The 24,411-nt window shown below is 65.0% G+C and overlaps 1 protein-coding gene and 1 non-coding gene across 2 annotated transcripts, besides 17 other annotated features; both read right to left on the bottom strand.

Annotated features, from left to right (window-relative positions):
- Window positions 1,726-2,515: a silencer, noted in NCBI's record as "silent region_13943". NCBI's record gives its function as "represses an Ori minimal core promoter by ATAC-STARR-seq in GM12878 lymphoblastoid cells {active_cell/tissue: GM12878}" and the evidence as "EXISTENCE:reporter gene assay evidence [ECO:0000049][PMID:35858748]".
- Window positions 2,836-3,095: an enhancer, noted in NCBI's record as "active region_19292". NCBI's record gives its function as "activates an Ori minimal core promoter by ATAC-STARR-seq in GM12878 lymphoblastoid cells {active_cell/tissue: GM12878}" and the evidence as "EXISTENCE:reporter gene assay evidence [ECO:0000049][PMID:35858748]".
- Window positions 4,940-4,989: an enhancer, noted in NCBI's record as "active region_19291". NCBI's record gives its function as "activates an Ori minimal core promoter by ATAC-STARR-seq in GM12878 lymphoblastoid cells {active_cell/tissue: GM12878}" and the evidence as "EXISTENCE:reporter gene assay evidence [ECO:0000049][PMID:35858748]".
- Window positions 6,990-7,059: a silencer, noted in NCBI's record as "silent region_13942". NCBI's record gives its function as "represses an Ori minimal core promoter by ATAC-STARR-seq in GM12878 lymphoblastoid cells {active_cell/tissue: GM12878}" and the evidence as "EXISTENCE:reporter gene assay evidence [ECO:0000049][PMID:35858748]".
- Window positions 7,280-7,339: an enhancer, noted in NCBI's record as "active region_19290". NCBI's record gives its function as "activates an Ori minimal core promoter by ATAC-STARR-seq in GM12878 lymphoblastoid cells {active_cell/tissue: GM12878}" and the evidence as "EXISTENCE:reporter gene assay evidence [ECO:0000049][PMID:35858748]".
- Window positions 7,380-7,499: an enhancer, noted in NCBI's record as "active region_19289". NCBI's record gives its function as "activates an Ori minimal core promoter by ATAC-STARR-seq in GM12878 lymphoblastoid cells {active_cell/tissue: GM12878}" and the evidence as "EXISTENCE:reporter gene assay evidence [ECO:0000049][PMID:35858748]".
- Window positions 8,158-8,658: an enhancer, noted in NCBI's record as "H3K4me1 hESC enhancer chr22:50358856-50359356 (GRCh37/hg19 assembly coordinates)". NCBI's record gives its function as "activates a minimal SCP1, AML or CMV promoter by ChIP-STARR-seq in naive H9 embryonic stem cells {active_cell/tissue: H9 hESC(naive)}" and the evidence as "EXISTENCE:reporter gene assay evidence [ECO:0000049][PMID:30033119]".
- Window positions 9,794-13,094, bottom strand: PIM3 (Pim-3 proto-oncogene, serine/threonine kinase). The gene is made up of 6 exons (NM_001001852.4): window positions 12,834-13,094; window positions 12,632-12,741; window positions 12,498-12,548; window positions 12,055-12,424; window positions 11,001-11,177; window positions 9,794-10,926 (listed from the first exon to the last, which is right to left on the bottom strand). The coding sequence occupies exons 1-6, from the start codon at window positions 12,916-12,918 to the stop codon at window positions 10,739-10,741; spliced, it is 981 nt and encodes a 326-aa protein (NP_001001852.2). The 5' UTR covers window positions 12,919-13,094; the 3' UTR covers window positions 9,794-10,738.
- On the bottom strand, window positions 10,927-11,000 carry MIR6821 (microRNA 6821). Its single transcript, NR_106879.1, has one exon. It is a non-coding gene; the product is annotated as a microRNA 6821 (primary transcript).
- Window positions 11,232-11,751: a silencer, noted in NCBI's record as "silent region_13941". NCBI's record gives its function as "represses an Ori minimal core promoter by ATAC-STARR-seq in GM12878 lymphoblastoid cells {active_cell/tissue: GM12878}" and the evidence as "EXISTENCE:reporter gene assay evidence [ECO:0000049][PMID:35858748]".
- Window positions 11,882-11,931: a silencer, noted in NCBI's record as "silent region_13940". NCBI's record gives its function as "represses an Ori minimal core promoter by ATAC-STARR-seq in GM12878 lymphoblastoid cells {active_cell/tissue: GM12878}" and the evidence as "EXISTENCE:reporter gene assay evidence [ECO:0000049][PMID:35858748]".
- Window positions 12,572-12,621: a silencer, noted in NCBI's record as "silent region_13939". NCBI's record gives its function as "represses an Ori minimal core promoter by ATAC-STARR-seq in GM12878 lymphoblastoid cells {active_cell/tissue: GM12878}" and the evidence as "EXISTENCE:reporter gene assay evidence [ECO:0000049][PMID:35858748]".
- Window positions 12,762-12,911: a silencer, noted in NCBI's record as "silent region_13938". NCBI's record gives its function as "represses an Ori minimal core promoter by ATAC-STARR-seq in GM12878 lymphoblastoid cells {active_cell/tissue: GM12878}" and the evidence as "EXISTENCE:reporter gene assay evidence [ECO:0000049][PMID:35858748]".
- Window positions 12,962-13,601: a silencer, noted in NCBI's record as "silent region_13937". NCBI's record gives its function as "represses an Ori minimal core promoter by ATAC-STARR-seq in GM12878 lymphoblastoid cells {active_cell/tissue: GM12878}" and the evidence as "EXISTENCE:reporter gene assay evidence [ECO:0000049][PMID:35858748]".
- Window positions 13,642-13,921: a silencer, noted in NCBI's record as "silent region_13936". NCBI's record gives its function as "represses an Ori minimal core promoter by ATAC-STARR-seq in GM12878 lymphoblastoid cells {active_cell/tissue: GM12878}" and the evidence as "EXISTENCE:reporter gene assay evidence [ECO:0000049][PMID:35858748]".
- Window positions 14,062-14,121: a silencer, noted in NCBI's record as "silent region_13935". NCBI's record gives its function as "represses an Ori minimal core promoter by ATAC-STARR-seq in GM12878 lymphoblastoid cells {active_cell/tissue: GM12878}" and the evidence as "EXISTENCE:reporter gene assay evidence [ECO:0000049][PMID:35858748]".
- Window positions 20,006-20,591: an enhancer, noted in NCBI's record as "H3K27ac-H3K4me1 hESC enhancer chr22:50346923-50347508 (GRCh37/hg19 assembly coordinates)". NCBI's record gives its function as "activates a minimal SCP1, AML or CMV promoter by ChIP-STARR-seq in primed H9 embryonic stem cells {active_cell/tissue: H9 hESC(primed)}" and the evidence as "EXISTENCE:reporter gene assay evidence [ECO:0000049][PMID:30033119]".
- Window positions 22,352-22,937: an enhancer, noted in NCBI's record as "H3K27ac-H3K4me1 hESC enhancer chr22:50344577-50345162 (GRCh37/hg19 assembly coordinates)". NCBI's record gives its function as "activates a minimal SCP1, AML or CMV promoter by ChIP-STARR-seq in primed H9 embryonic stem cells {active_cell/tissue: H9 hESC(primed)}" and the evidence as "EXISTENCE:reporter gene assay evidence [ECO:0000049][PMID:30033119]".
- Window positions 22,938-23,525: an enhancer, noted in NCBI's record as "H3K27ac-H3K4me1 hESC enhancer chr22:50343989-50344576 (GRCh37/hg19 assembly coordinates)". NCBI's record gives its function as "activates a minimal SCP1, AML or CMV promoter by ChIP-STARR-seq in primed H9 embryonic stem cells {active_cell/tissue: H9 hESC(primed)}" and the evidence as "EXISTENCE:reporter gene assay evidence [ECO:0000049][PMID:30033119]".

The raw sequence follows: 24,411 nt of genomic DNA, 5'->3' as shown, positions 1-24,411 counted from the left end.
CACCACACACCACAAACAACCACACACACACAGCACACACCACACAAACACAACACACAACACCACACATGATATATACACACCACACACAAACACCACACACCACAAAACACCACACACGCACAACACACACCATACACACACAGCACACACCAGTAAATGCATGACACACATCACACACAACACACATGATATATACATACCACACACAAACACAAAACACCACACACACACAACACACACCATACACACACAGCATACACCACAAAACACCATACACACCCCATACACACACAGCACACACACACCAGTAAATGCTTGACACACACACCACACACACCACACATGATATATTCACACCACACACACACCACACACCACAAAACACCACACACAACACACACCATACAAACACCACATGCCACAAACACACCATACTCACTATACCACATACACTATACACAACACCACACACGATACATACACACCACACACAAACACCACACACAACACAGACACAACACACGACACAAATACCACATACCACAAACACATCATACCCACCATACCACATACACACACTATATACACCACACAATGCAAAACACATGACACACCATACACACCACCACATGATACATACACACCACACACAAACACCACACTCCACAAAACACCACACAACACACACCATACACACACAGCACACACCACAAAACACATGACACACACACCACACACCACACATGATATATACACACCACCCACAAACAGCAGACACCAGAAAAGACAACACACAAAACACGACACACATAACACGATACACACACCACACACCAATGACATACTCTATACATAACACCACACGATACATACACAACACACACACCATACACAATACACACGATACACACACACTACACACCATACACAAACACCATACATAAACACCACACACAACCACACATCTTACACAAACACTACACACCACACAATACACATAGCACGCACACACACACACTATACACATCACACACACATCACACACACACACACACACACACACACACCCCATCTGCTGGAACCTCCTGGAGGGTGGCCAGTGGCCTGTGGGGTTGCCAGGGGGCCGTGGGTGGGACCGGGCCAGGAAGGGATTTCCTCAGGTGTGGAGACTCGGCCCCGGCCCTGCCTGCCCCTCCAGTGGGACCAGGGAGGAGGAGGCGGGGGTGGGAAGGGACCCAGCACCTCGCGGGGACACAGAGCCAGACTGGAGGAGGTGGGGGCGCAGCGCCAGAGGGACCTACGGGACACAGGAGGCTGGGGGCGGTGGGGCCGGGGTCTGGGGAAGTGCAAAGCTAGGAAGAGGTCCAGGCGGGGCTGCGAGACGAGGGTGCCCGCGGGTGGTCGCGCAGCCCGAGGTAGGGGCGGCGGGCCCAGGTGGGAGGGTCCAGGAGAGGAGGTCAGGGCTTTGTAGGGGGTCCCGCGGACCAGGCAGGGTGCGGCTGCCTGAGGGGCAGGAACCTGGAGGACTCCGCCAGGCTGGGGCGCAGGGGAGGCGCATGGGGCGTGGGCGCCCACCCAGGGGCCCACGTGGGAAGCCCCCGCAAAACCCGACGTGGGCGCCGAGGTGGTGGGGACGCCCCGACGGTGCCCCCAGCCTGGCTAACCATTCCCGCCGCAGACCCCTCCCCGCAGGCCAGGGCTCCTCCACGCGGTGCCCCGAGGTCCCCAGAGACGGGGGCCTGAGCTGTGGATGGGATGAAGGGGGTACCCACTCCCCACCCACCCGCCAGAGAGCAACCTGCTCGCCTTCTGCTACCTGCGCCGACCCTACTGACTGACCTCAGGGCAGGCGGTCTCCAGCTCCTTTTCCCCAGGAGGGAGGAGACCCGGGGGGCAGAACCCCACTGGGCGCCCCACAGCCAGACGCTGGACGGCCCCGCACCTGCCCCCGCAGCCCGCCTGGGACCGGGCTCTCCGTGGAGGGCTGGCCTGGGGCCCCGCCAGTGCTTGCACCTGTGGTCCTGGAGACAGTGCGCCCGCAGGTGCCCTGGTGGGTGGAATCTTGGCCCCTCTCCCCTCCCTCCTCCTGCCCCAGGGACCCTGCCGGCCCAGGCAGCCCACAGCTCATCTGGCTGTCGGGGCGCAGCGGCCGCAGCAGGGCCTGGTGTCAGGTGCCGGGCCCTGGAGACCGCGTGTGGTGGGGACGGGGACAGAACGTACCGAGGCTGGGCCAGGGTGTGGGGGCGGGGAGGTCCGCGGGCCACAGTCCTCGGTCTCTCCCCGGACTCCGCGCCACGCCCGCTTCGGACAAGCGCGTCCTCGGCGCTGGGGAGGGAGGGGCCTCGCGTGGGCCGCGTCCGTGGGCGGGGTCCTTTTGGCCAGCCCGGCCTCCTCGGCTCCCGGGTCAGGCCGACCTTTTACCTCCCGATCCGCACCATCCTCCCCCGCCTTAAAGATCTGGCCGGCTCCGCCTGCGCCGCTCCCCAAAGCGCATTCCCGCTCCCCACGCGCCCTGCTCTCTGCGCCGCCCCCCGGCCCCCAGATCCGCCTCCTCCTGCGTCGTCGGCGCCCAGGAACCCACCCCGGCCTCGCGTTCCCCTGTGCTCGCTCGCAGCGGCTCCCCCAACTATGGGGGACACAGGGCCCGGAAATGTTCTTAAACCCCATCCGGGGCCCCAGACGGTCCAGCCCGCATCGCACACGGGAACACGTGTGTGCCCCCAAAGCTAGGACGCGCCTGTGACCGGCTGGTCGGGGCCCCAGCATCCTTGGACAGGACAGGCGGGTGGGCAGGGCCCGTGTGCTCCACTGTGCTCTCCGTTCGCCTCTCAGCTCCAGACTCCTCCCCTGTCACCAGCGTCCCCCTTCACCGCCTCCGGGAGGTGCTGAGTCACAGGAGGCGCCCCCACGTGCTGCTGTGCCCTTTGAGTGAAGGGAGGGTGAGTCACGCGGTGGCAGCGGCCACGTCATTTGGGGGCGGGGGAGGGGAGAACTGCTAGTCTTGGCTCCAGGCTCTTCCTAGGCCAGGTCCTGCCCAGGTGCAGACGCGTGCATGCACACACACGTGTGCACACACAGGATCACACACATTGGAGCACACACATACATGGCAGACACGTGCCCACATGCATATACACATAGACGTGCACACAGGAAATCACACCTGCACACACAGAGATTCACATGCACACACACACATGCACATGCACAAAAACCCAGACACACACACTTGGAACATGTATAGATTTACACACCCACCGACACTTTTCTACGTGTACAGATGTGGACACACAGGTGCCTACACATCATAAGAGTTGCCTGCATTCCTGGGTGGCCCGGTAGACCCTGCTGGTCCTTTCTAGAGGGAGGACTGAGGTGGCTGCTTCAGGGTAGAGCTGGGACTCCAGGACCCTCCAGGGCCAGGTCCTGTGCTGGCAAATGGGCAGTCCTGTGGGCATCAGAGCAGCCCCTGGCCTGCTCCACGGCTGGCATGGGCCACCCAGACACATGCCTGCCAGCCCCTGCCCAGTCCTGTCTCACAGCAGGAGACAGTCCCCAGGGCTCTGCTCAGGGCCCTTGTGCTTCTGAGACCCCTGCTTCCTCCCCTCAGCTCATCCCACACGGAACAGACTGTTGAGGGGGACCCTGGGCATGGAGTAGACCAGGAGGCAGGGCCCAGGGCGAGTGCTGGATGGGACTGTGGTCCTGGCCCCTCCGCCTGCCTCAGGGCCTTTGCACCTGCTGCCCCACTGCCAAGCCCCTCTCCCCAGATCTCTGCAGAGCTGCCTGTGCTGTCTCCCAGGCCCCACTGGGGAGCCCACCTGTGCAAAGGCTGATGGTGATAGTGGCCCCAAAGAGCCCTCACCATGTTTCTGCTACATCTGGAATGATCCCGCCCACATAGGTCTTGGTCATGCCTCTCAGGCAGGGGTGAGCCCCCAGGCTCAGGAACGTCTGGTTCCCTCCTGAGTGAAAAGTGGGAGGATTTGGTAAGCAGAAAACCAGACAGGGGCAAGTGGAGGGTTGGGAGTCTTGGGGTGGCCCCTCTGGGATGCTCCGTGGGATAGGGCTGCCTCTGTGGGGACCTGGCCAGCAGGTTGTACATGTGGCCTGAGACTCAATCCTGGCATTTCCAGGTCCCTGGTCCTCTCTACACTGACCCGCTCCCCCATGGGATATGAGGGCCCATATCTCATGTCCTTTCTAGACATAGAGGCCCAGAAAAGGTCCTCATGCTTTCCTGGCACACTGTAGCCTTGGCAGCGTCCAGTGGCCCAGGACCCCTGGTCCCTGGTTGCAGGCAAACAGCTCTGCCTGGCCTGGCCCAAGGGGTGGAGCCAGTCACTGGGCCCCAGGACCCAGGGCACCTGCAAACCAGAGCAGGCCCAGCCGCCTGATGGGAACGTCTTCCCAGGTGCAGTCCAGGGCGGTCGCACAGCCCGGACCCTGGCAGGACACTCAGCGGCCTCAGGGAATGCTCAGACCACCTTTGGGCTGGGTCTGGCCTGAGGACTGGGGCACCAGTGCTTCCCTTCTCCATGCCCCCCGCCACCTGCTGGAGTGGCCAGTGGGGTGGGGGTCACTGATCACAGCAGTTCTGGTGAGGGGCCCAACGGACGCTGCCCAGGAGCTCCTCCGGGACATCCGAGCACCTGCCCTGCACAGGCCAAGCCCCAGAGTCCGGAGGAAGCCCACAGAGCCAGCCTCAGCACAGTGGCCACAGGGCTTCAGGCCAGGAGAGTGGCATGGGGCTGCATCATGTGCTGGGCCTGGAGGGCCATCGGCTCCTCAGCTGGCCCCCACCTGTGTCAGTGGAGCAGCAGAGTGCAGCCCAGGGCCCTGCAGGAGGGCAGGTGGCAGGATTAGGGGAGAGCTCACAGCCAGCCACGCCCTGGCCTTCCAGGGGAAGATGGGGCTCCCAGAAGCACACCCACCCCAGGCTAGCCTCCTCTTGGCTTACAGACCTGAGCCTGCTTGGCCCCTTATGACTTTGGGTGGGCGCCTGGCCTCTGGGCTTCAGTTTCCCCCACCTGGATCATTCAGAGCTGGGTCCAGGTGACCCATCCCCAAGAGAGACCCCTTGCTTGTTCATGGGGGAGCGAACACCCACTCCACCCATGCTGGCTGGCATCTGGGGCACGGCACCCCTGGGAGATTCTGCAGGGACCTGGCCAGGAGGATGGGTCTGGACCTGGTGCCTGCAGGTGCCTCCAGCTGCCCCCGGCTGTCCCACTGCTCAGGGCCTGGAGGCTCTGTGGAGGGCGGGCGAGGCGGGGAGGTCTGTGCTGCCCTGTGCCAGGCTTTGCAGGTCCCTGGCATCTGCAGGACACCCCGCTCTGCAGGAGCAGGATCTATCTGCTCATCAGAACCAGCCCTGTGTGCGGAGTCTCGGGTCTGGGAGGGGCTCCCTCAGACCCAGGTTGTCTCAGGTCCAGGATGGGGCTGGAGGAGAGGGAGACAGGCTGCCTTAGGAAGGACTGTCTGGGAGACCAGACCCTTGAAACTCCAACCTGCCTTCCTCCAGGCCGGAAGCTTCCTGGGTCTCGTCCTCCACCCTCTGCTCCTTGCCCCCAACTTCCAGAAGACTGTGCCCAGGCTCCGTACCCCCCACCCCGCCCACGTCCACACGCTGACCTCTCTTCCCACACCTGGTCCAATTATTCTCTGCACGGGTGGTCCTTTGCTGATTTGCTATCTAAAGGTGTCCTTTAGAAACATTCTGCCAAGTTCTGGACAGCGTCCACCCCAGGGGGAGTCCTGAACAGGCTGTGGTCCTCAGTGTCATGTGACCGCTGCGTACTGTGGTGAGTGCGTCGTTCCAGCTGTCAGTGCAGGCTGGGCCACACAGATGCCGTCCTGGCTCACTCGGCAGCCTTGGAACTGATTGGTTTGTCCACAGCTATGCCCCTGAGGGTGGCCTGGTCAGTAAACAGGTCGGGGGAGGGGCCAAGGCTGGTCGTGCCCCACAGCCTGCCCGGCACCCACACAGGGGGCAAGGTTCCGCTCCGAGGTCCGTTCTTCTTGCCAGGCTGCTCGACCGCCTCTGGGCCCAAGGCCAGCCCAGCTTCCCAGAAGGAGAGACTGGGACACAGACCTTCTGTAGCCATCAGGGCGCTGTTCAGTTTCTTTCTTCCAAAGCAGCTCCAGAAACGAAACCTTAGCATGGCTGTGGTGCCAAAGCTGCGCGGCAAAGGGAAGTGATCCCTGGCAGCCCCTGCGAACACCACCCCGTGCCGGGCACCCAACTGGCCCGGGAGCCCCTGAGCTGTCGCGGAAACAGCACGAAAGGAAACTGTAGGAAGCCACCTGTGCAGCTGCGGGGCTGTTCTGTGGGCAGAGGCCGAGCAGCTCCCTGGATGGGCGGTGGCAGCCTGGACAGGCAGCGGCTGAGGGCTGACCACACACCCACACACCCATTGGACCCTCAGGCTGAGCTCGCGGTGTGATATGACACCAGCATCACACCGGGCCCCGGGGAGTCGGGGAGAGCAAGGGAGACAGAAGGGGGAGCTAAGCCCACACCGGGTCTGAGGCACCCAGGCTCCTCCAAAGGAAGCAGTCAGGACACCAAGGCTGGACGGGGGCCGCTGGGGGATCTGCGTGGGCAGCGTCCAGGTGCGGCTGGGCCTAGGGCCCCAGGCAGGCGTTAGGGAAGGGTGTCAGCCAGTCTGCCCACAGAGCACAGGGGAGATAAGAGCTTGCTGGGTCTCTGTCCATCCCTGACCCCTGCCCCTGACCCCTGCCGGGGCTGAGAGAGTACAGGGCCCAAGATAGATTCCCAGCCCGGAATTTCTCAATGAGTCCTTCCCCTTTCTGCAGACAGAGGCCTCTCATGGCGGTGCTAGATCCTCTGGCACATGGCTTCCAGGCCCACCGCTTCCCGGGCAGCCCTGGCGAAACCCTGAGCTTTCGTTTCACAACTGAACAGCCTCTGGCCCCCGGGTTCCCGGCAGTAAGGCCTGACAAGGCAGGGTGGGGGCAGGGCCTGCCCCTCCAGCCTGGCCACTGCCCTCCTCCTGGCCAGGGCCCTGCAGGAAAGCCTCTCCCAGGGTGCCGTGCCCCAGATGTCGACCAGGATGGGTGGGGTGAGGGTTTGCTCCCCCATGAACAAGCAAGGGGCCTCCCTTGGGGATGGGTCACCTGGACCCAGCTCTGAATGACCCAGGTGGGGGAAACAGCCTCAGAGGCCAGGCGCCCACCCGAAGTCATAAGCGGCCAAGCAGGCCCAGGTCTGCAAGCTAGGAGGAGGGTGCCCTGGGGTGGATGTGCTTGGGTACCCCATCTTCCCCTGAGAGAGGCTCAGGGCGGTGGGCTGGTTCTGACCTGGACTCTGGCCCCAGATCCTGCAGGCAGCAGGTCCAGACCAGTCACCTGGTGTACACCCTGCAGGGGTGAGCATGGCTGGGGATACACATCATCCCTCAACCCGAGTGGCCAAGGGGTACTGCAGCCCTGGAGGCTCCTAGGCAGGGTGGGAGGGGCCCAGTCCATAGGGAAGGACCCACCTAGGAGCCCACAGAGGCCCTGCAGGAACACAGTGGATTCTGCTGGGCTTCGACCCCCAGGGAGAGGCCAGACCGCAGGTCTAGGGTGGGGACTGGCGGGGAGGAACCAGGCCTACGGTCACTTGGATCCTGCCAGAGCCCCAGGGAGTGTCTAGGGGAAGGGTGTGCAGGAGCCCAGACAGCTGGGGGGCTGGAGGGGGCCAGGGAAGGGTTGGGGAGGCCCTGAATCCTTCCCCTTCGTCCAGCACCCAAAGTCAAGTGGCCCAGCAGAGCCAAAGCAGCAGAGGTGGGGTGGGGCCGGCAGGGGAGCAGATTCCTGGCGCTTGGGCTCTGGAGCTCTGCTTGTCTCTGGACCAGGATGGTGCCCTCAGAGATGTCTCTGAAAGCTCACTATGGGCCGCCCCAGGAGCCAGAAAAGGCCCACAGGAATCCTCCACCAGCTCCTGCCGCCCCTGGGCCGTGGTGCTCAGTCAGGCAGATGACCTGTGGCCGAGAGCCTGAGGAAGGACCCGAGGCTGGCTGGGCCCTGTCTCCTCCTGAGTCAGGGGGTGGAGGGCTATGTCCAGAGGCGCCCCCAAGCGCGCCATCCCCTGTGCTAGAAGGCCAGAGCTATCTCGCTGGGAGCCTCAGCCCAGCGCCCTGCACCCATTCCCAGGGCCCTGGCAGATGTCCCCACCCTGTAGGCCACCTTAGAGGGGTCCCCAGCCAGCCCTCAGCAGCAGTGTGTGGGGCACAGCAGTGGGAAGGACCAGAGTCCTATTCTGACATCTGCCCAAGGTTCCTGCCTCTCTGGCCTTCAGTTTCCCAAAAGCAATCTGCGTGGAGGGCCTTTGCCTGGCTGAAGCCGGGGCTGGGGATGCCCATGGCTGGGGGCTGGGGAATGCCCATGGCAGTTGGCCCAGGAGCAGGTGGGCCGCAATGGCTGCTGCCCGAGGGTCCCATTTTGGCAGTGGGGGGTGGGGTAATGGGAAAAGCCTCACTGGACCAGACTGGACTCAGGGCACGCTGGTTGGGCCAGGTCTATGGGAACCGGTGGCTTGTCCTTCCCGGCACCTCCTCATCTCCCCTGCTGGCCTGAGGCTGTAGGGTGAGATGAGGGCCCCGAGAGACCTGCCTAACTGAGCAGCTGCCCTCCAGGTGCTCCTGGATCTCCACAGCAGAGGCCACAAACACCCACTGATGTCCTGAACAGTCACAACCTGAGGCGGGAGCCCCCCACCCGAGCCCTCTCTGCCTGCTCTCCAGGGGAAGGGTGACTTTCGTCTCCTCCTGTTTCTCTTTCCCAAACTTCCCGCCTCTGCCACAGCCTCTGGCCTCGGGCCTGGGACAGTCTTCTGTCCAGTATGGTGCTGCCTGCCCCGGGCTGTTTATCAGGGACTCTTATTCGGAGGGGCAGATGGGAGGCAGGGGGCAGACAGGGCTCCAGGAGCCAGAGAGCCGAGTAGGTGCGCTTGGCAGACTGGGTGATGCCCCAGGTGCAGGTCCACTGCCAACATGGGGCACCCCACAGCCCAGCACAGGGTGGGCAGTTGAGCAGAAGGCCCCTGGGGTGGGGGTGGGGGAGCAGTCTCACTGGGACCCTCCACCCAGGCCTCCTCTACCCACCAGGAACATTGTGGCCAGGCCCATTGACACACCCGAACCTGGTTCATACCCCACTCTCTCACCACACACCCGCCAGGCCAGGGTCTAACTATAACTGACTGAACACCCCGATACCCTCCACCAAACCCCACCCTCATGTCCTCTGCACGTCCTTGGCACTGCCCGGAACACACTCCCACCCCATGTGCCTGGCAAACTCCTCCCTGTCCTTCAAAACCCCCAGCCACCCTCTGAGGCAGCATGGACTCCCTCCCCCACCCCCCCGCACGTCTCTGTTTCCACCAAGCCAGGATGCAAGTATGGCCATTTCCACTGGCAAGGCCTCCCTGGGTGGGGGCTGCAGAGATCCTCCTGGGACCACCGAGGAATGACCTCCTGACTAGTGTGGGTTGCTGCATCCTCAGGGCCTGGCTCCCTGCCTCCACCTCCCAGAGGCACCCCAGGAGGCAGCTGCTCTTCTCCCTGGGTGCAGCACGGGGTAGTGCGGTGGGCCACAAGCCACATGAAGTAGCCTGTGGCACTGGGGAGGCTGGCACCCAGCTGGGCCTCCCCCGTTTCCCCCGTGGGCAAAACTACCAGCCCCACGGGAAACTTGTCAGGTCACCCAGCAGCCAAAGCCCTTCCTCAGAGCCCCTCTCTTCCCCCAGGATGCCCAGCCCCATAAATACAGGATTATCCACTATGTACAAAAACATTTTAATTGAAATACCTGTATAAAAAAATATGATCTCCAGACATCTCACTTTTGAACTGAAAGAACCCCCATCTGCGATGCCTGCACACACCGCATTCACACAAACACAGGTACTGAATAAATTAAACGCTCAGGCTCTGGCCCCACCCCAGCTTTCAGAGCCCACAAGCAGACTGTACAAAGTCAATAATTTAAAACCCAAACCCTGGGCACAGTGCCTGGAAGTGTCAGGGTCACCCACTCCCCTTAAGTTAGCCACTATACATGTTCATCTTCTGACAGGCGGGGCCGGGACAGACGCCAGGCACAGGAATCAGGGCCTGGGGTCCCTGGACCACAGCCACCCCCTCCCCTGCCTCCCCACTGTCCCCTGGGGCTTGGGAGAGGCAGACTGCTCAGAGGAAATAACCTCAACAAATAAATTAAACAATAAATAGCCCCGGTGGGCCGAGGGCACCTCCAGGGGGTCACACCATAAATAACAGAGTTGGCGGCGGGTACGGCTCGCGTGGGCGGGCGGGCGCGGAGGCCAGGACTTGCATTGTGTGTGCAGGACGTGCCCAGACGCACACCGCAGGACTGAGGGCGGGAGGTGGGCTTGGGACCCTGCGCCGGCGGAAAGAGCTCCGGGTGGGCAGGCAGATGGGAAGGCCGCCTCCGGACACAGCAGCACAGAGGGGCGTCTGGGGTTCAAGTATCCACCCAGGGCAGGCGGGACCTCGACCGGAGCGTCTTTGGACAGACAGAGCTTGAGAAAACCAAGTCCCGCGGGACCAGCGTTCAAAAGGCACTCAAAGCGAAGGTCACCAGGGGTCAGAGGTCACTGCTTCCGCAGGAGGAGACGGCCCACGCAGGAGAAAGTCAGGGTCTGGGGGCGTCCCAGGTCTGGCCAAGGCAGGTGGTCCCCTAGCTCCCAGTCAGGTGCAGCTCCTCACAAGCTCTCGCTGCTGGACGTGGTGCTGGCCACGTCATCAGGGTCGAGGGTGCACAGCCGCAGGTCACAGCTCTCCGGGACGCCCCCGTCAGCCCCCAGCATCCAGGGATGGGCCGCAATCTGATCCAGCGACGGCCGCTCTGAGGGCCGCAGGGACAGGCACCACCGGATCAGCTGCTGGCACTCTGTGCGGAGCGGAGAGGTCAGGGAGGGCCCAAGCAGGGCGAGGCCCCCACCCCCGCCTCGAGCCACCACGCACCTGGAGAGACCCTCCTCCGGAAGAGCAGGCGGCCTCGGAGGATCTCCTCGTCCTGCTCGAAGGGGATGTCCCCACACACCATATCGTAGAGAAGCACGCCCAGCGACCACACGGTGGCCGAGCGCCCGTGGTAGCGGTGGTAGCGGATCCACTCCGGGGGGCTGTACACTCGGGTGCCTAAGGGGACACAGGGCTTAGCACGCCCACCACAGAGGCAGAGCCGCTCAACAGACGGCGAGGTCCCTGCTGGTTAACTCCCTGGCCTCAGTAACAGGAAGCAGAGCCAGGCCTCAAAATCCTGCTCGTCATCACCCTGGAAAAACCCCGGCAGGCGATGGGGGGGCTGGGGGAGGGGCCGGCCGTCCCCCTCCGCCGGCCGCGGGGGAGGAGCAGGTCACATGAGTAAGAGCTCGGCTTTCACAACAAACAGATGCGCTGTGAGGCTACCTGGGTGGGGGGGGGACAGCGCGGGTCCCTTACCGCCCGGCGCGCCTGCCTGCGGGAACGGGGGGAGGGGAGAGAGGGAGGGAGGAGGGAGGGGCGGGCGGGGAGCCCCGGCTTCCCCAAGCTCCGCAATGCGGGGATTTCTGCCGCCGCGCCCCCGCGCTCCGCACGCACGCAGCTCCCGCCCCCACGCAGGGGAGGCCCCGCCACTCCAACCGCGCCGCGGGGGCCTCCAGGCTCCCGGCGCAGACCCAGCCCGGCTGCGCCCTGCGTCACGCACGGAGACTCCTCCGCTACCGCCCCCAGCCGGGGGTCTCTCGGGCCGGAAGGATGTCACGCGCCTCCCACACCGGGGCAAGAGGCCCCGTACCCCCCAACGCGATGGAGGAAGCAATATTGAGCGCGCCCCTAGCCCCCACCCAGCACGATCCCGCTCTTGATCCCTCGCTCAGCCCTCCCCAGGGTAGCGCGTGGGCCTCTGCTCCCCACGAGAGCAGACCCAGGGCGCGCGGCCGCCCAACAGTCATCAGCCCCTCCATGTGCCGCCCCTGCAGGCGTTAACCCGCCGGCAAGGCCCCCGGAACGTTCCCTGCCCCGCGCCCGCGCTCACCGTCGAAGTCGGTGTAGACCGTGTCCTTGAGCAGCGCACCCGAACCGAAGTCGATGAGCTTGAGCTCTCCGGAGCGCAGGTCCACAAGCAGATTTTCGTCCTTAATGTCGCGGTGCACGACCCCGCAGCTGTGGCAGTGGCGCACGGCGGCCAGCACCTGCGCGAAGAAGCGGCGCGCCAGCGGCTCGTCCAGGGCGCCGCGCTCCGTGATAAAGTCGAAGAGGTCCTGCGCCGGCTCGGGCCGCTCCAGCACCAGCAGGAAGCCGTCGGGCCGCTCGAACCAGTCCAGCAGGCGGATGACGCCGCGCGCGCCGCCCGCCGCGCCCACCTTGCGCAGCAGCACCACCTCCAGGGGCACGGTCGCGCCGCCCTGGGGGACACGGCGGTCAGCAAAAGCCCCGCGCCCGCCCCCCGCCGCCGCCGCCGCCCGTGCCCCAACTTACCAGGCTGCCCCACTCGGTCACCCGCTCCTTCACCACGTGCTTCACAGCCACCTGCGGAGACGCGGGGGTCAGGCCGGGCCAAGCGAGGCGCAAGGCGCGCGAGAAACCCGGGCCCGCCCGGCGGTCCGACTCACCGGGAGCCCGTCGGCGATGCGGCTACCCGCGTAGACCGTGCCGAAGCCGCCGCTACCCAGCACGGCGCCCACCTGGTACGCCTTCTCGAAGCTCTCCTTGTCCGCCTTGGCTGCAGGGAGGCGCGGGCGGGGTTGGTGCGGCCCGGGGCGCCCCCGGTCCCCGCCCTGGCCCCGGCCCCGGCCCCGCCGGCCCCGCGCGTACCTGGCTGCAGGATCTTCACCGGGAGGTGGTCCACGCCGCCGGGCCCGCAGAGGTGCGCCAGGGAGCCGAACTTGGAGAGCAGCATCGCGGGCGACGGCCTCCCCGGAGCCCCGAGCCCCAGGCGCCGAAGCCGCGGCCGATCCGGGCGAGCGGCGCGCCGGGGACACCGGCCGTCCGAGCCCGAGGCGGTCCGCGCGGCGCAGTGGGCCCGGAAGGCCCGCGGGGACCGCGTAGACGCGCAGCAGGCGGAGCGCCTCACCCGCCCCGGCCGCCTCGCCCGGGGGTTTTGGGCCGCGGCGCCGCGTATCCCTCCGCGGGGGCGGGGCGAATCGGGACCCCGCCCCCTTCCGCCCGGGGCCCGCGAGGCGGCGGCGGCCGGGCGCTAGCTGGGGAGACGGCGGGGCAGCTTGGCGCCTGTCTTCGGGCGGGCGAGGGCCGGGTGCGGCGGGCGCGGGGCCGCTCCGGGACTCGTTTTCGTAGCGCAGCCGCGGAGGCGCACGGCGTGTCGCGTCGGTCCGCTCTCCGCGCTCACGCTCTCACTCCGCGCAGGCGCAGTGCCCGCGCGGGTGGCGGCCGTGGCGCCTCGGGCAGAACGAGGAGGGACTGCACGAGCCAATGGAAGCCGGAGTTTTTAAAGAAATCCGGCGCCCCAGCCAATGGCGGGGCGAGCCGTTTCCTGGCTCCGCCCCCAGCAGTGCCTAGGAAGGTCACCCGCCGGCCCCGAGCAGGGTTCCTGGGGGTGTGGGAGTGCGGGAGGCGACCTGCGCTTGTCCCGCGGCCTCGAGGTGACACACGCCGCCAGTCTGCGTCCCCGGCTGTCTGCGCATCCCGTCGCGCACGTGGCCGGGCGCGCGGGGAGGTAGCGCCGGCTCCTCTGGAAGCCCTCGCAGCGGCAGCGCCCCCAGCCTCGCAGCCCCGGCGGGGGCCGAGAGCGCACCTGGCTGGAGATGCTTCCTCCTCACCCTGGGCTCTGACCTCACGCCCGCAGCCCGAGGGCCCTCCCTGGTACCTCTGCCCTGCTGGCCGGTGCCTGGAGTGGCCCCGCCCGACTCCTGCCGTCTGACACGGTCCTGGCTGCCCTCCGGGCTCTCCAGCAGCTGCTGTCCACCTCCACCAGGGAGCCCACCTTGATTGCTGCGACAGCCGCACTCAAAGGCTGAACAGCCGGGGTACACATTGCCCTGGTCTGGACTTCACCCTGTCGTGCCCCTTCCCTGCTCTCTGTACAGAAGTCTGACTCACCTGTGTGGTTTGGTGCAAACCCACAGATTGCCAACATTGGTCCAAAGTCACCGGCCTGAGAGCAGCTCAGGGTTCCAGGACGTGAGTGGCCACCCGCCAGCCCCAGGGCTAGTGGGTTGAGAGTTGGGGGCCAGAGGGCCCAGGGGCTGGTCCTCTTGGCACTGCCAGGCGTTCTCAGTGGCCCTCAGGGGTCTAAATATTGTGGCAGACATCCCCGGGCGGTCTGGTGTGACCGTCAGCGCGCACACACACTTGCCTCGGAGCTTCCAGCCTCCCCTAAGTCTGACCTCTCATCTCTATACAGTCACCATCGCTGTCCCTGCGCTGACCACTCACACACCACTCCCCTGTTCAGCTCTTCTGAGGCTGTGGCTCTCGGGACTGGCCCAGGCCCACCTGCCATCTGGGCGCCCTCTGGGGCTCGCTTCGTCGCCCGCTGCCTGGGCCCATGCCTGTGCTCCTGGGGGCTCCTCTCTTGCCTAGCTCATCTCTTCCTGTCCCTTGGGTCCTGAGGATCAAAGCCAACGCGACATTGTTTGTCCCCAGGCCCCTCCCCCTCCAGCCGCTGCTTCCCAGAGCTCTGTCCAGTTCTCTCCCGCAGTACGAGGGCAGGGTTGGGGCTGGTGGGTTAGCCTTCCCCCACCCACCACGCACCCAGCACAGGGCTCCCCCGAGATCAGATCCCTGGTAGGATGACACCCCAAGCCTTCCCCTCCAGCAGTATCCACACAGCACCTGCGAAGGAGGAGGGGCTGCTGCCCATGTGGGTCCTCCCGGGGACCTACCTGAGGGTCCAGTGGGGCTGCCCTCTTCTGTGCTGGACACGCAGCAGAGGTGGGCAGAGATGCTGGAGAGCACGGTAGGTCTAGGGGGTGACCACTACAGTTGAGTTCATGTCAGTCTGGAGGGGCGAGGGTCCTCAGCCTGACATGTCAGGCTAGTCTTCCTTGAGTCTGACATGTCAGGCTCCAGGCCAGTCTTCCCTGAGTCATCCTGGCCGTAGAAGACCAGGCTCTGGCGGGCAGGCACCCCACCCTGGCTCTCCCTAGGCCCCGGGTCTTGCTCTGAAACCCTCAAGTGTCCCTTAACTAAGATCCAGGAGGACTTGCTCCTTCAGAAAGCACGGTGTGCCTGTCCTCCACGGCCCTCCTCCCGCTCACTCCAGGTGTGCTGGAGATTCCTCCAGGCCTCCAGATGGGATTCCTGCCACACAGGCCTCGGTGAAAGCCTCCGGAGGGCTCCTGCGTGGGGGTCCAGCAGCCTGGCCCTGGAGTGGAGGGCAGGGCAGGGCCAGAGGCAGCCCTTTCCCTAAAGTGTGACATCTTTGTAACCACGTCTGTCCAGACACTGGTGTATGTTGTCGATTTACTGTTGTACGTGCTTGTGTGTGCAGCGAGGACCCTTGCACTGACGGTGAGCTCCGTGCGGGGTCAGCATGGTCCCCAGCCCTTCCCTCTCCCCCGGGACTGTTTGACATTGAGGCCTCTTTTAGACTGTGTCTGGCCCAGGCCACCACATCTGATCTAGTTGGAGTGCTGGGGTCCCCAGTAACGCCAGATAACCCTGCTCACCTTGTCGTGCCCCTCCCCTGCCATTGGGCACAGCCCAGCCTGTTCCTCAGCTTGGCAAACAGATATGGGTCATCCCAGTTGTGGAGCATCTGCGCTCTGCATACAGGGCAAGAAAAATCTGAGAGGCCTCAGGGCCTCTCACCCTCTGCCCTGGGCCACCCCTTTCCCACAGGTCCCATCAACACCCCACCCCCCGGCCAAGTCCCCAGCAGTGCAGGACACCAGCCCTGCCTGTTTTTTCCTGGTTCGTGGATGGCCCATCCAGTGGGCCCCATGGGCAGGCCCAGCCCATGGGCCAGAGCTGGGGCCGCTCCTGCAGATAGGAGGTGAGCCAGGAGGTGGGCGTGGCGGGGTCTTGGTGCGGGAGCCGCTCCACCTGGGTACTGACTGCAGAGGGCCCAGCCCAGCCCCTTCCTGTGTCCTCCCACCCCCCACCCCACCTGAAGCTCAGGCCGGCATGGCATGGGTGCCTCCTTCCCTTGGGCTATCCTGCTGAGAGGGGCAGCCTTGCTCCAGGGCCAGGGCCTCTGCCTGTCCTTGGAGCAGGTGTTTCCCAGGGCAGGGACAGGGGAGTGGAGCAGAGCTTGTCAGAGGGTCTGCACACCCCAGTCCCCAGCCCAGCCCCTGAGCCATCCCATCCCGACTGCTTGACCTGGAAACAGCCGCCCCTGCTCCGCAGTGGACACGGCGAGTCCCCCCAGGTACCCTGGCCTGCTGGAAGGAGGGTCACGCTCTTGCCATGGTGACCCAAGCCAGGCTGGCCTGCCTGGATTCGGGAGGATGAGGAGGTGGAATGGAAGGTGGCTGGGGCCACTTACAGTCTCCCACACACACATGCATGCTAACACTGCTCACACGCACCAATTCACAAACACTCACACATAGAATCACACTTACAGACACCTCCTCAAAGCTGGGGCATTGCAGAGGGGAGTGTTAACAGGGTTCATGCTCCACGGGCACCCCCATTCCTGCTCCCCAGGCTGTGTCCCCACTGTCCTGCCTCCCGCCGGCCCATCCCGCCCCTCTTCCCTCCTTCCCTGGGGATCCTGTCCACCCCCAGTCTCCAAGCCAATGACCAAGGCCTCCTTAATCAGCCTGTTTCCAGTTGCCCCGTGCCTATCCCACAGGGTCGCCCGGCCTTGTCCTGCCTGTATGTGATGCCCTTCCAACCCAGGCCATGCCTGAGGAGGGGGCGTCCCCTCACCTGCCCCCAAGCCCTTACCGAGGCCTATCCCATTCCCAAACCTCCCTCCTGCCGATCCACCTGCCCGCTCCCACCCTCATCCCAGGCCCCAGTGTGAGCCCCCTTGGCCACCATGGTCTTTTTCCCACTGTGAGCCCCTCACAGTCCTGCCTTGGACCCTTTGTGGCTCCCCTGGGCCACCAGGGTACAGGCCCTCCTCCCCAGCCCATGGGCCTGGCCCCCACCAGCACCTGCTGCCACCCAGAATCAATGTCCCAGTACGGCCGCCCCAGGCCCTGGGCTGGAGCTCTGCGTCATCTCCCCGCAGACCGGACTCCCCCAGCTGTTCCCAGCTTGGGAGGGGCACCTGCTGCACCTCGTCTTCCAGCCCACACAGGCTGCAGCGGCCAAGACTGGGTGCTCCCAGGGCAGTGGCGGGGGCAGGCGATGCCTGTTGTGGGGAGAGGCCCTTTCCCCTCTGGCCTCCACTCTCGGTCGTCGCAGCCTCTCACCCGCTGCAGATAGGAGCCAGCAGAGCTGTGCCAGGATTTTGCAACGTTTCACCAAAGGCATCCCAGGGTTGGGCCTGGGGTGGAGTGGGGCGCCTAGTCAGTGGGAGCTGGGGGTGTGGGCGACCTGCATGAACTCAGGCCCAGCCGCTTTGGCTGCCTCTTCCAGCCTCTGTCCCTGCCTGGAGGACACCAGTTTTACCCCTCAGCTGAGGCCTGGCCTGTGTTAGAGAGGCAGCTGTTCCCACCAGGTTACCCCCACCTGCTACCAGCACAGACCATTTATATTCCATAAGCCACCCGGGGCCTGGGCCCCAGTGAGCATGGCCGCCTGGCATCCGTCACTTGGACTCTGCAGAAAGAGTCCTGCACAAACATAGAAGATGCTGTGGGAGTGTCCCGTCCTGAACCCTGTCCTCAGTGGAGCAGACGCTGAGACCCAGCTGGAGGGGGGCTGCCTCTGTTGGTCGCCCGGGGGCTGCAGTGATGGTGGGAACTGTGGCTTCAGCGCAGCAGCCTCACTGGATCTGCCAACCTGGAGAGCTGTGGCCTTGCCACCACCCAGACCACGACTCAGCCTGAGCCGGAGCTGCGTGGCCTGTGTGTCCCAGGCCTGGGCCGGGGGCCAGGGCAGGCGTGCAGGGCCCCCTCACCTGGGACCTCTGACCTGTTGACCAGGGACAGGCCACCCTGGCCTTGGGCCTGGACCACAGCCCTGCCCACTTCATAGCTCTTGGCCTTTGGCCCTGCAGTGCCTTCCCTGGTGGCCCTTTGGGGCCGTCCTGGCACCTCGGCCTGGGTCCCTGCTCTTCCGCTGACCCAGCCCAGAGTCACAGACACATCCCCAGACTCTATCAGGCTCAGTCTCTGGAGAGGCACTGCGATTTCTGTGGAGGCTGTGCGGAGAATCTGACGACATTGTACCAAGCAGCACGTCCCACAGCACCCAGTGGGCGCCCGGTAGAAGAGCCTGTGGTTTTGGGCACAGACCCCGGGAGGAGGGCTCCTGGGATGAGGCGGCTGGGCAGTGCTCAGCGTGCCACATGGCAGTTCTGCCTTCTCCCTGCTGAAATCCTGCAGGCCAAGAGCCGCAGCTGGTCATGGGGGCCCCACCTCATTCTTCCTGTCCTGGCCTGGTCCACGCGGGGCTGGGGAGGCAGAGTTGCCCTCAACAGCTCACATCTGACCCCACTGCGAGGGCTTAGCTTCTGGGCCCAGGCTGGAGACCTTGGAGGACTCAGGGAGTTGGGTGGCCTCTGCCTGGTGCCCAGACAGGATAGGCCCCAGCCATTTGGCTCTGGTCCCCAGCATTCTGATGAGGAGGAGACTCAGGAGAGGTGGTGGTGGGGGTTCCCCAGGAGCCAGAAGCCAGATCTGGCCCTCCTCCAGGGTGTCTGTGTGGCTGCTGCAGGCTCACACACGCGCCGAGCCCAGCTCCCCCGTGGGTCTCACCCAGGGGCTCCCCGGAGGAGGTCAGGAGGGCGTTGGGGGATCACAGAATGTGCAGAGGTGAGAGTGGGGTGCTCTCTCCCACCCAGAGCCAGGCCGGGGGTCCCCAGTCAGGCTTGTACAGTTTGGAGCCACCCAGGGGGGCTTTGAGAAGCCGGAAGCCCAGGGCCTGCAGCAGGAGTAACGCTTTCCTGGAAGAGTTTCTGAAGCTTCCAAGGATGGTCCAAGGACTGCTCCAGCCAGTGTCCAGCCATGAGGAGCCGGACCTGCAGATGGAGTCCCAGGGGCTCAGACCCCCCAGGGGGCCTGATCACAGCAAACATTCCTGCAGAGCATGGGCTCAGAACGCCGTCACCACCCCAGAGATGCACGCACCTCCGGGGCTCCTGGATCCCCACTCCTGTCAGAGGGGGCAGCCGCCTTCCCAGCCATGGGGACTTGGGGGAAGGTCAGGCCTGTGAATGGCAGCTGGCCCAGCTGGGCACTCAGACTGGAGTGTTGCTGCCAGAGCTTGAGCTCTGCCCACAGACAGCTCAGGGCAGGACAGGTGACAGCGTCAGGCCGGGCTCTGTCTGGCCCCTCCTTGCCAGACCCGAGCAGAATCCACACAGCTTGGAGCTGGCAAGTGGGCACTCCAGGCCCTTGGGATGTCCTCTTCAGATGGCCCAGAAATGGGCCTGGGGGAGGGGAGAGAGTCCCCCACACCTGGGTTTGGTGGGGGCAGTCATTGGTTCCGAGAAAGGACCTATGTGGCCCAAAGTTCTGCTCACGGAGAAAGAGCAAGGACGGCACCAGTCCAAGCCTGTCTCTTCCTTTCCAGGCGGCTGGAAGTGGCCCCCAGGCTGTGTTTAGGGGCTGGATCCTGGCAGCCACCGCCTGGACATGACACTGGACCAGGGCTGGGGACGAGTCAGCTGGATGAGCCCCAGGAAGTGATGTCCTCCAGGCTGTGCCTGTGTGGCTCTGCGGGGACCTTCCACACTCTCCTCCTGCGGCCTTTTCCGGAAGGACCTGGGTCTGTTCCTAGGAGTGTCCCCAGGGCCAGCCTGGGTGGCTACCAAGAGGCCCCGGGGGCATTTTGACCCCAGGATGCAGCAGGAGCAGAGGACGGGGCTCTCGAACCCAGGAAGGGGCACCTGTGGGTGTGTCTGTGTCAACATCCAGGGCCTGCGGTGGGTAGGGGGGTCTGGCCACCCTGAGTGGCGACCCGGCCTGCCAGCCCTTCCCGGCCCCGCTGCTGCTTCCTGGAACCCCCATGAGCTGTGCCCTCCCAGGCCCTTCCTGCTTGACCATGTTGGGGGAACAGGAGTGCCAGAGTGGCTGAAGGAGGCGGATCCCAGGGCTGCCCCTGGGTCTAGGCTGGGAGAGTCCAGAGGGACCTGCTGAGGCCTGGCAGGCAGGGGCCCTGCCCTGTCCCCACCTCTGTCCAGGGTCCCCCCCAGCCCCCGAGACGTGGGGCCGTGAAGTAGCCTGGGTGGAGTGTGATGTTCGGAAGAAGTGGCCAAGTTGTTTTCCGGCCTCAGGTCCACTTCCCTATTCCTGGGAAGTGACATTTGGGGGTGGGGGAGAGGAAGGGGAAGAGGAGGGCAGGTACCCAGAAGCCAAGCGGCCTCTGACATGGGGAGGCCCCAGCGCCTGCCCAGCTCATCCCTGAACACCCTGTCCGCTCTTGGCTGCACCCCAAGCCGATGGCAGTGCTGTAGGTGACCCAGGGCCGAGGAGCTGAGAAGGACTCAGTCTGGCCTGGAGGGCATCCGGGCAGTCCCGGCAGAGGGTCAGTCTAGGTCGGGGCTCAGGGAGCAAGTGCTTGTGTGCACACCTGTCCCAGGTGAGCGTGGGGGTGTGTGCATGCAGCCAGCCATACGTGCCAGGCAGGTGCCTCCAAAGGCACCTTCACACCACCCCTCGCCAGGGGGTGTAGCTCCCGCGGCTCCTTCCCTCTGCTCTGGAGCCAGCCCCACTGTGCCCAGCCCCCTCCTCCCACTGGGCGCTGTGGCCTCCCAGCCCTCAGGAGGAGGGCACTTCGGCCCTGCCTGGGGAAGCTGAGGGACAGGGCCTCAGGGTCTTGCTTACGCGTGTCCATCCATCGTCCAGATGGGGAGCCTGAGAGCCGGGCCGTCACCTGCCTGTCCCCATATCCCACAGCTGGGCACCTGAATCTCGTTGGGGCTGGGGCAAGGCCTCACAAACCCCTTGTGTGGAGCTTTCTCCCCTGCAGGCATCTGGGCCTGGGCCCTATCCAGGTCCTCCTCACCTCTCCCGGGCTCCCTGAGGGACCATGAGGGTTCACCAGTGCAGACCTGTGGGGGCCGAACTGCCAGCACAGCGGGGCCGCTCCCAGGGGGAAGGGGGGGATGAGGCACCAGGGGCAGGCTGCGTGCACACACACACACAACCACACACAAGTACACACCACACACGTGCACACACACCACACACATGTTCACACATGCACACGCACCACACGCGTGCACACACACACACACACACAGACACCACGGGTCTTCCAGGCAACACACTCTGCAGAATCATCTCAGAGAAATGCAAAGAATGGAAAGAATTCTGCACTTTTACCCTTGCTGGGCTCCTCCACCTCCAGGAAATTCCCCATCCAGCGCCCTGGCCCCTTCGGTGGCCCAGAGCTCCCTCCCGTCCCTGCTGCCCTGCCCCGACTAGGTGTCGGGGTGGTTGGGGTCCCACTCTTCAGGGTCGTGGGTGCCAGGCCTGGTTTGGGCCCCGGAGGACCAGCTCAGCCTGCAACCCACTCTTCTGTGTCAGCTCTGCTGAGGCCGGGCTGCCGGTGGCAGGAGTGAGGGCTACAGTTGCTGGGGCCCAGGCACTCCTTACACCTCAGTCGGGCGGCCTCTCTTTCCTGGTCACTGACTTAGCCCCAAGATCAGAGGCACCTCGATGGAGTCTGTGGCCCGGTGGGGCCTCCACCCTGAGCCCACCTTCCTAGCTGTGAAATGGGCCTTGTGGTCACACCTCAGCATTACCACTGGCCAGGCCTAGGGCACTGGGAGGAGCTGAGTCTTGGAAGGATGTGGGTGGGAGGGAGGTGGGCTGGGCTGAGTGGGGGCACACGGGCCTCAGTGGAGGGCCTGCGGTCCTGAAATCCCACCTGGGTCCTGAGCTCCCAGCAGAGGCGACTCAGCAGCCTGCCTGGGCGTGGATCCCTCCAGTGAGATCTGGGCAGAAACCAGCCACAGGTGTGCGGGAGTTGGTGGCCCTTCCAACTGGCCCTGCCCCAGGGTTTCAGGGCTCTGGAGGGCACTGGTCAGCTACCCTTGGGCTGAGGTGGGTGGGCACAGCCAGGGGTGGGAGGTATGGAGTTGAGTCTTAGCCCACTCAGGGCCAGGCCCCAGGCCAAATTTGGCCTCCTGATGGGGCCTGGTGACCTCCCTGCCTCTCTCGGTCTCCACTCGATGCCCAGATACCCGTCTCTGCATCCTGGCCTGTGAAGACAGGTGGAGGGGCTCTGCCTGGGCCTTGGCCCTGCCCTCCCCTGGGGCCCAGCCCTGAAATCTTGGCTGCTGGTACCTGCTCCCCGCCCTGGCTGGGCAGGTGGGCCTCGCGCAGGTGGCCCCCGCCCAACCTCCTGCCACAGGGCACTGCTGTGACGCACGCAGCTCCTCCTGGCCGCGGTCCACAGCACACATGACAAGTAGGCAGACAGACGCAGGCTCACACGCAGCACCCGGTCAGGCTGGTTTTACCTGGCCGGCCCTGGGCCTGAGGAGGGGCCCACGCAGCCAGGCCTGCCGGGAAGCTGTCCTCAGCCCCCCAGCCTCCCCGCCCCCGTCCTCAGTCAGCCAGCCTCCCAGCTCCCTTCCCCCATCCTCAGCCCTCCAGATCTCCGCCCCTGGCCTCAGCCTCCCAGACTCCACGCCCCCATCCTCAGTCCCCCACTAGCCTTTCCACCCCCTTCCTCTGCACCACCTTAGCCTCCCAACACCCTTCCTCAGCCCCCACCAGCCTCCCCGCCCCTGTCCCGGTAACCTCCAGCCTCGGTTCCTCATTTGCGAGCCAAACGCTGCCGTCCAGTCTAAGGCCCCTGTGAGGCTGGCACGAGAAGATGTCATAGCTGGGGTGGGGAGTGGGAGGAGGGTGGAGCCCGGTGGGCAGAGACCCCCAAATGTGGCTGAGTGGGCGAATGGACTGTGGAAAGGCAGCCGCCCTCTGCCTGGCCTCACCAGGGGCCCTTCTGGCTATGAGGGGCCCCCAGCTGTGCCCGTCCTGCGCTGCCCTGGACTCCTGAGCCCTCGGCCCACAGGGCCTGGGAGAAGCTGCTGCAAACGCTCCGTGTTGCCGTAGAGTAGGCCTGGCAGGGCGGCTGCCCCTGGACCCCCGGCAGCTCCAGCAGGCGGCTGGGCCCGGTCCTTCTAGTTACTTGCTTAGCTGGGTAGAGAATTCCCTCATCAGCCAGTGTACCCTTGACAACACAGCCCAGCCCAGGCCCCACACCCCCCTGCGCCAACAAACACAGCCCCACTCAGGCCCCCCACCCCCCCACCCCCCTATAACACAGCCCTGCCCAGGCACCACAGCCCCAAACACAGCCCGGCCCAGGCCCCACCCCTACTACCCCCAACAACACAGCCTGGCCCAGGCCCCACCCCCTGCACCGGCTCCCCCATAACACAGCCTGGCCCAGGCCCCATGCCCGCCTCCCCCCGCTATACCCCCCTGTCCCCCACATCCCCCCACCCCTCTGTGCTTCCCCGTGGTTGATGGTGACCCCAATCCCCCTGTGCTACTGCAGGGCGGGAGGGGTGTGCCTGACATGAGGCCCTGCAGTGGCTGTGCCGGGCTTGTCTGGCGGACCTGAGGGCCTGGGTCCCCAGGACGGTGCAGGAGGTCCAGCTCCCTTGGTGTCAGAGCCTCCCCTGAGCCCCTCTAGAGTGGAAAGTCCAACAGCCAGGGCCCTCGGGCAGGTGCGGCTCTCATGGCCTGTGCCCGCCACACCTGAGGCCTCACCTCTGGCCAGCGGGGGGACACTGCGAGACCCACACTGCAGAGGGTCCCAGCCCTGGGCCTGTGCTGCCCCCCAGCATGCTGGACCCGCCTGGGGAGTTTCTGACGGCCCACCCCCCTCTCCAGCCAAGGACTTCTCCCCAGGGCCCCTCCAGTGGGAAGCCTGTGTCCCTGCCGGTTGAGGGGCTCTGCTCCAGGGGCAGGGGCCACTGATCGGCCTTCTGTATAGTGGAGACCCGTGTATAGAGAGACCCGTGAGCGAGGCCCGGATGCGTGGAGCCCGGGCAGCAATGCCGGAAATCTGATCCTCTGCTCGGAGAACCTGGGTCCTGGTGGGTGGAGGGGTGTCAGGGTGGGAAGTGAGGAAACATGGAGGACTGGCTGCGGGGACGCAGGCAGGGGCGATGGTGGAGGAGCAGGGTGGGGGCACAGGCCAAGAGGGCTGGGTAGCAGGGTTGGCGGAGGGTGTCATGTGTGGGGGGCCGTGTGGACGGGGTTCGAGGGGCGTGGAGAGGCCCGGGGGTGGGGCAGCTGGGCACACAATGGGCCCTTGTCCTACAGGCCGCAGCTCCTGGGCGCCCTAAGCAAATACACGCCCTGTTCCCAGCTGCACACCGTGTCCTGGGACGCGGCCGTGGTGTGGGGGC

Source organism: Homo sapiens, chromosome 22 (assembly GCF_000001405.40).
Source record: "Homo sapiens chromosome 22, GRCh38.p14 Primary Assembly".
Taxonomy (NCBI): Eukaryota; Metazoa; Chordata; class Mammalia; order Primates; family Hominidae; genus Homo; species Homo sapiens.
Note: the sequence above shows the minus strand (reverse complement) of the source record. Positions and strands in the feature narration are given on the sequence as shown.